Here is an 8,991-nt window from a genome sequence, read left to right as displayed (position 1 = left end):
TGTGTGTCTTGGTGTCACATTTTAGCAATGCTCCCAATTCTCATACTTTTTCATTATTATTATATCTGTTATGGTGATCTGTGATCAGTGATCTTTGATGTCACTATTGTCATTGTTTTGGGCACCAGGACCTGCACGTAGATAAGATGGCGAACTTAATCCATAAATATTGTATGCCCTGGCTGCTCCAGTGACCGGCTGTTCCCCCATCTCTCTCCCTTTCCTCAGGCCTCCCTATTTCCTGAGACACAACAATACTGAAATTAGTCCAGCTGATAGTCCTACAATGTCCTCTAAGTGTTCAAGTGAAAGAAAAAACATTCCTTTCACTTGAACGTCTCTCACTTTAAATCAAAAGCTAGAGATAATTGAGCTAAGTGAGGAAGGCATGTCAAAAGCTGAGTCAGGCTGAAATCTAAGCCTTTTTCACCAGTTAGCCAAGTTGTGAATGCAACAAAAAAGTCATTGAAGGAAATTAAAAGTGCTACTCCAGTGAACAAATGAATGTTAAGAAAGCTAAACAGACTTATTGCTGATATGGAGAAAGTATCAGTGGTTTGGATAGAAGATCAAACCAGCCACAACATTTTCTTAAGCCAAAGCCCAATCCAGAGCAAGGCAATAACTCTCTTCAATTCTATGAAAGCTGAGAGAGGTGAGGAACCTGCAGGAGAAAAGTTGGAAGCTAGCACAGTTTCCTTAAACTCATGAGGTTTAAGGAAAGAAACCATCTCCAGAACATAGAAGTACAAGGAGAAGCAGCAAGTCCTGATAAAGAGGCTGTAGCAAGTTATCCAGAAGATCCAGCCAAGATCATTGATGAAGATGGCCACACTAAACAACAGGTCTTCAGTGTAAAGAACCAGCTTTCTATTGGAAGAAGATGCCATCTAGGATTGTCACAGCTAGAGAGGAGAAGACAATGCCTGGCTTCAAAGCTTCAAAAGACAGGCTGACTCTCTTGCCAGGGGCTAATGTAGCTGGTGACTCTGAGTTTAAGCCAGTGCTCATTGGCCATTCTGAAAATCCCAGGCTCCTTAAGAATGATGCTAAATCTACTCTGGCTATGCTCTATACATGGGATAACAAAGCCTGGATGACAGCACATCTGTTGACAGCATGGTTTACTAAATATTTTAAGCCCACTGTTGAGACCTACTGCTCAGAAAAAAAAAGATTATTTTCAAAATATTACTGCTTATTCACAATACATGTGGTCACCCAAGAGCTCTGATGGAGATGTACAAGGAGATTCATGTTGTTTTCATGCCAGCTAACACAACATCCATTTTGGAGCCCATGAATCAAGGAGCAATTTCAACCTTCAAGTCTTATTATTTAGGAAATGCATTTTGTAAGACTATGGCTGCCATAGATACTGATTCCTCTGATTGATTTGAGCAACATAAATTGAAAACCTTCTGGAAAGCATTCACTATTCTAGAAGCCATTAAGAACATCTGTCATCCGTGGAAGGAGGTCAAAATACCAACATCAACAGGAGTTTGAAAGAAGTAAATTCTAACCCTCATGGATGACTTTGAGAGGTTCAAGATGTTAATGGAGGAAGAAATTGCAGATGTGGTGAATATGGCAAGGAAACTAGAATTAGAAGTAAAGCCTGAAAACGTGACTGAATTGCTGCAATTTCATGATAAAAACTGAACAAATGAGGAGTTGCTACTTAGGATGGATGAGCAAAGAAAGTGGTTTGTTGAGATGGAATCTACTCCTGGTGAAGATGCTGTGAACATTGTTGAAATGACAATAAAGGGTTTAGAATATCCCATAAACTTAAGTTGATAAAGTATTGGCAGTGTTTGAGAGGATTGACTCCAATTTTAAAAATTTTACTGTAGGTAAAATGCTATCAAACAGCATTGCATGTTACAGGGAAATATTTCATGAAAGGAAGAGTTAGTTGATATGGCAAACTTCATTGTCATCATATTTTAAGAAATTGCCACAGCCACACACACCTTCAACAACCATCACCCTCATCAGTCAGCAGCCCTCAACAAGGTGAGTCCCTCCATCACCAAAAAGATGATGACTCACTGAAAGCTCAGATGACATTTTTGGCAATAAAGTATTTTTAAATTAAAGTATGTACATTGTTTTTTAGACATATGATGCTGCACATTTAACAGACTACAATATAGTGTAAATATAATTTTTATATGCACTGAGAAACCAAAAAGTTCACGGACTCACTTTGTTGCAACAGTCACCTTATTGCGTTGGTCTGGAACTGAACCTGAACTATCTTTGAGGCATGTCTGTATTTAACATTATTTGTGAATTGTGTGCTGCACATCTTTTACGTCAGTAAAATTTATAATTAACATCTATTAAATCAGTTCTCAGGAAAAAATTTTTAATAAACATAATAAACTAGCTCTCTGGAAAAACTACATCTCCATGCACATTTGCTAATATTCACCAGCATTCCACTGCTCTAAGTTATATCACCTTGCCTCCCCAGCAGAAAGGGAGAGCAGTCATCTTCTCTCTATCAAGTTAATTAATACCAACCTCCATCAAGCATAGTATATTTATTTTAGGCAAACTATGTTATTTTCATTTGGCCTATTCCCTGATTTTCTTCTAAGTCCTTGAAATACATCACTGCTTATTTTCAGCCCAAATTATGCAAGTATGTAAGACTTCCTCTAACTCTGTAAATAGTAATTTTCTGACTTTGCCTTTTCCTTCAACACACTGATTCATCAATTCTAGGATGCATATTTTTTCACATCTTAACATCTCTGAAATCGAGAAGCCTCTTCCAGCCGCTGTTGGCCAGGCAGCAGCTGTGTCACTGCCTTCCCTTGTGTGAACTTGGCCATAGCTATTATATTGGCATCACCATCGATGAGTTTGATTGCTGCTTAAAATGTCTTTTAAATGATTGCTCATTGCAACCAAGGGTTACTGTAGTCACAGAAAGGCAGGGAAATACAGCAGCAGGGGGGGATTGATAGTGATAAAGCAGACATTTCACTTTGGAGGAATGGCCAAAATTCCAAATTGTCTTGTAAAGACCAACAAAAAGTTATATAGGACCTAAGAAAGGAAGAGACCCATACTTAGATGAACTGGTGTTCCATTTGCTGCTGAAATACACGCAAAAGCAAGGTCTATCATAAGCCAAGGCAACTGAAGGTAGGGAAATCTGCCAAATCCCTTGAAATAAATCAAAGAAATCTCAAGGCAGCAAGAAGCTGATACATAATCAATTCCTGCATCGCCCAGGACCATCGTTAAGACATTGCTTCATACTTAACTGACAGCATTTTTTTCCCCTCTTAATGGTTTATAGAATAACGATGCATTTAATGGTAAGTGGTATCTGAGATTTGCTTAAATCTAAGAACTAGTTTTATTTTCATCTTTCAGGTACCATTTTATATACCATGCATTTCTTTGCATGGTATATAAAATATCTTGTATGTTGCAATGTTTTGCTTGAGAAATGTGACAGCTACTTTGAAACTAAAAGAATCCCTCCATATATAATCTACCCTAATTCCATCACACCTCTCTGCAGCTTTACTTCCCTAAGAATGTAAGATCCAACTCTTTTTTTTTTTGAGTTGGAGTCTTGCTCTGTCACCCAGGCTGGAGTGCAGTGGCACAATCTCTGCTCACTGAAACCTCTGCCTCCCAGGTTCAAGCGATTCTCGTGCCTCAGCCTCCTGAGTAGCTGGGACTACAGGCGTCCACCACCATGCCTGGTTAATTTTTGTATTTTTAGTAGAGACAGGGTTTCACCATGTTGCCCAAGCTGGTCTTGAACTCCTGACCTCAGGCGAACCACCTACCTCGGCCTCCTAAAGTGCTGGGATTACAGGCGTGAGCCACCGCCCCAGGATGCAACTCTTTTAAAATTAACTTTTAGAGTGAAGTCTACATACAAAAACATGCAAACACTATAAATATACAGTTCAATGAATTATCACAAGGTGAGCACCACCCAGGTTATGAAGTAGAACATTAGTAGCATTTCAGAAATCCTCTGTGGGTCCCTCAATGTCGCTAACTCCACTCTGATCCTCAAAGATAACCACTTTTCTGACCTAGAGGTTAGAACCTCTAGGTAGTTCTGACCAAAACTACCATAGATTAGTTTTGCCCATTTTAAAGCTTTGTATGTCAATAGAATAATATAGTATATATTATTTTACTTTTGCCTTCTTTCACTCAATATGTTTGTGAAATTTTTTGAAGTTATCGTGTATAGCTTTAGCTTACTTGTTTTCACTGCTGTATGTTATTTTATTCCATGAATATACCACAATTCCTTTATCTCTTCTGCTGCTGATATTTGGGTTGTTTCCACTTCAGGCTTATTTTGAATAGTGGTACTACAAATAATCTTGAATCCTCTGCGTGTGCCCATAGTCCTCTGCCCCTCTTGGCTTCTCTCATCACTTCTGTCTACATGTCTTATCCCCCTACTAGATGGGAAGCTCCTTGAGGGCAGGATCCATGTTGGATTCAATTTGTATTTTCCATGGTAGGGAACCAATTCTTGTGTTGAAAACTGGTAAAAACAGGGAAAGATTCAAGCATTTATCCAGCCTTTCCAATGGGAACTAGAAATATGGATAACCAAATAGCTATTGAGAAGTTTCCCTTTGTGGAAATATTTCAGCTAATAAATAAAGAAGGAATAATAGAATTAAAATATCACCATTTTGTATCCCCTAAGCAACAGTCCCAACCTTTTTGGTTCCAGGGACTGATTTCATGGAAAGCAATTTTGCCACAGACAGGGCAGGGTATGGTTTCAGAATGATTCAAGTGCATTACATTTATTGTGCATTTTATTTCTATTATTATTACATTATAATATATAATGAAATAATTATATAACTCACCATAATGTAGAATTAGTGGGGGCCATGAGCTGGTTCCCCTGCAACTAGATGGTCCCATCTGGGGGTGATGAAAGACAGTGAAAGATCATCAGGCATTAGATTCTCATAAGGAGTGTGCAACCTAGATCTCTCGCATGCGGAGTTCACAATAGGGTTTGCACTTCTATGAGAATCTAATGCCGCAGCTGATCTAACAGCAGGCGGAGCTCAGGCAGTAACTCACATAATGGGGAGCAGCTGTAAATACAGATGACGCTTCACTCACTCACCAGCTGCTCACGTCCTGCTGTGCAGCCCAGTTCCTAACAGGCCACAGACAGGTACCAGTCCATGGCCCAGGGCCTGGGGACCCCTGCCCTCAAGAACGAATAATAGATCAAACATGCTGGCTGACATCTCAAAAGGAGAGACAACCGTACATTTTGTGCCTGTCTGAAAAGTCATGCCCTCCTCCATCAAATATGAACTTAAAAGAAATAGAGGATATGGAGGACTATTTTAAATAACAACACAGGGGCACGCCATCAGCAAAATCCTGATGGGACAAATGACATGGTTTCCTCAACACACAAATTACAAGGGAAAGGAGAGAGAGAAAGGAAGGCAAGAAGCTACAAGTTAAAAGAAACTTGAGGGACATAGAAATCAATTGCAATATATTGACCTTTGGGTGATGATTCAAACAAACTAAAAATAAACAAACATGCAAACCTAATCTGAGTGAATACTTGCTATTAAGCGATTATTGTTAATTTTTTTTTCTGTTTTTTGAGACAGAGTTTCACTCTTGTTGCCCAGGCTGGAGTGCAGTGGTACAATCTCAGCTCACTGCAACCTCCACCTCCCGGGTTCAAGCGATTCTCCTGCCTCAGCCTCCGAGTAGCTGAGATTATAGGCATGCGCCACCATGCCTGGCTAATTTTGTATTTTTAGCAGAGACGGGGTTTCTCCATGTTGGTCAGGCTGGTCTTGAACTCCCAACATCAGGTGATCCGCCTGCCTCAGCCTCCCAAAGTGCTAGGATTACAGACTGAGCCACTGCACCCGGCGGACTGTTAAGTTTTAAGGTATGATGATGTTGTGGTTATGTTCTTATAGTTGTGAGTTCTTATCTGTTGGAGAATCAGGGTAACATATTTACAGGTGAGATGATTTAAAGCCATGGGGAGGGAGGCATATGGTATATAGATGGAAAAAAATGGAAGTGAGTTGATAGTTGTGCATGGATAGATAGCAGGGTCATGAGTCCATCAAACTTCATTATATATTTTCTCTACTTTTGTATATGTTTGAGATGTTCTGTAATACATTTTTAATACAAAAAAAGTCTCTTCTATGGTGCCTATATCAGTACTTTACGAATAGTAGTTACTCAAAAAATATGTATTGAATGATGGAATTGTCTGACAGCAGCCTTAGCAAAAGGGCCATCTTGGCTCCAACACACATTTTAGAGCTGATTTTCACTCAGCATCTTTCATACTTACAGTTTCTGCTCTTTCCACACCCACTTTTGAGAATTCCCTCAACCCCCAATCCCCTATCACTGAACAGGCCTAGGCAGCTGATCAGAGCTGAGTACAGCTGTGTTGACAACTAATTCACAGACAGGTGGGGCCCGTCAGATTCTCTCAGGGAGAGAACAAGGCTTGGTCAGACAAGAATGGGCTCTACAAATGCAAGGATTTGTCCGGCAGGAGCAAGAGTCTGTACCATATCTTTTGCAGGAAAATGTGTTCAGTTCACTCATAATAAGGGAAATGCATTTGAAACTACACTGAGATACCATTCCTCATCCATAAGATTAGCACAAATTTGAAAGCTCAGCAACATACGTGATTGGCAAGGTCATGGGGATACAGGCACTCTCCTACATTGCTGGTAAAAACACAAAATAGTACAGCACTATGCAGAGGAAGTTGGCAATATCTAATAGAACTGCTAGTTGGCCCAGCAATCCCACTTTTAGGAATTTAAATTCAAGAGACCCCTCCAACAATACAAAACTACATAGGCACAGGGTTATTTATTGCAGCATTATGTGTAACTGCAAATTACTGGAAACCGTGTAAATGCCCCAAAGTAGGAGATTGGTTGAATAAACTACAGTACAGTCACACACAGAGCACTATGCAGCTGTAGAAAGAATGGAGATGATCGCTACAGATTGAATTGCTAAATGCAAAAGAGCATGTATAGTACATCAATTTTGTGTTAAAAAAAGAGGAAATGAGAAAACAAACACATATTTGCTTATTTTTTACAAAAAGACACAGGCAAATTAAACCAGAAACCAGTGACATGGGTTACCTGCTGGAGTGGGGAGTAGACAAAGCAGAGGCCGTAGTGGGCGGGAAACCAGATCCACGCAAAACAACCTGCAAAAGTCCTGCTTTGTAACACTGGCGTTTCCTTGGTGTAAATACTCCCACTGTATTCAAGCTACCTACAGAGGTGTACAGAATGGGCTCTTGTAAGCCAGGACAAGCTGGCTCCAGCACAATACTCAGTGGAAGGGACAAGGAAGAAAGTGATAACTCTCTATGCATGCCTTTTTATATAGCTTTTTCATTAAATTTCTCGAAGTGTAATTTTTTTTTTCTTTGAGACAGAGTCTCACTCTGTCGTCCGGGTTGGAGTGCAGTGGTGCAGTCTCTGCTCACTGCAACCCCTGCCTCCTGGGTTCAAGCGAGTCTCCCTGCCTCAGCCTCCTGAGTAGCTGGGACTACACCCGTGCACCACCATGCGCGGCTAATTTTTTTGGTATTCTTAGTAGAGATGGGGTTTTACCATGTTGGCCAGGCTGGTCTCAAACTCCTGACCTCAGATGATCTGCTTGCCTCGGTCCCCCAAAGTGCTGGGGATTACAGGCATGGGCCACTGCACCTGGTCAAATTTCTTGAAGTATAATTTACATATAGTAAAGTGAATCCATTCTAAGGATACAATTTGATGTGTTTCGATGAATGCATGCAACCTTGTAACCACCACTCCTCACCAAATCAAAATATAGAACATTTCCATCACCTCATAAAGTTCCCTTATAATACTTCTCCCCAGGCAAGCCCCACACTTCCCACCAGCTTCAGGTAACCCCTTAGCTGCTTCTACCACCATGGATTAGGTGTGTGTTCTTTGGCGTTTTATGTAAATGGAATCATACAGTATATACTCTTCTGTGTCTGGCTTCTTTGGCTCAGCAGGATGTTTCTGAGATTAACATCCGTGTTGCGGTGTGCATCAGAGTTCACTTCTATCTGTTACAGAGCAGTAGTCCAGTGCCTGGATACGCCACAATGTATTGATCCAATCACCTGTTAATGAACATTTGAGTTGTTCCTAATTTTTTACAATTATGAATAAAGTGGCTATGAATGTTCATGTACAAGTCTTTGTGTGGACACACATTTTCATTGCTCTTAGGTTGATATGTAGGATTACGATTTCTAGGTCACATGGTAAGTATAAAAGCTTTCTAAGTGTAGCTATAAAAAACTTAATTTTTTTCAAAGTGGCTTCAACAGCAGTTGGTGTGCATTTTAGTCATCTGCATCTTTGTCGATGTTTTTTAATTGTCATTCTTTGAATTTTAGCCATTCTGGTGAGTGTGTAGTGGTATATCATTGTGATTTTAATATGAATTTCCTGATGATTAATGATATTGACATGTTTTTATGTGTTTATTGACTGAGAGCATATCTTTGTTTGTGAATCAGGGCTCCTTGGAGAAATTGCTGATTCCAGAGCTGAAGCAGGGAAGGCACAAGATGAGCCTGGAATGCCTTAGTATGCCTGAGAGTGAGGAAGTGCTTCAAAAATATGATGAGCATATGTAATAAAAGACACAGCAATCAGCTTTATGAGATTTCCACTGGCAAAATCTGGGCCATAAAAAATTTAAACATCAAAATAGTTAAGGAGAGTCATAACCCATTGAATAAAATAAAAATCCATGAGTTCATAGTAATAAGAAACAGATAAATGATAGACACTGACAGATAAATACGGAAGAAGTGACGTTTAAAAAGTAATGATTTTACAACTGCCATAGTAAAAATGGATTTAGGAAAGAGCCATCAATGCATCGAAATCAAGGCAGATACAGGGG

At 39.9% G+C, this 8,991-nt stretch overlaps 1 annotated feature.

Moving 5' to 3' along the window:
- Nucleotides 6,992-7,061: a silencer, noted in NCBI's record as "silent region_4471". NCBI's record gives its function as "represses an Ori minimal core promoter by ATAC-STARR-seq in GM12878 lymphoblastoid cells {active_cell/tissue: GM12878}" and the evidence as "EXISTENCE:reporter gene assay evidence [ECO:0000049][PMID:35858748]".

Source organism: Homo sapiens, chromosome 12 (genome assembly GCF_000001405.40).
Source record: "Homo sapiens chromosome 12, GRCh38.p14 Primary Assembly".
Lineage (NCBI taxonomy): Eukaryota > Metazoa > Chordata > Mammalia > Primates > Hominidae > Homo > Homo sapiens.
This window is presented reverse-complemented; position numbering and strand designations above follow the sequence as displayed.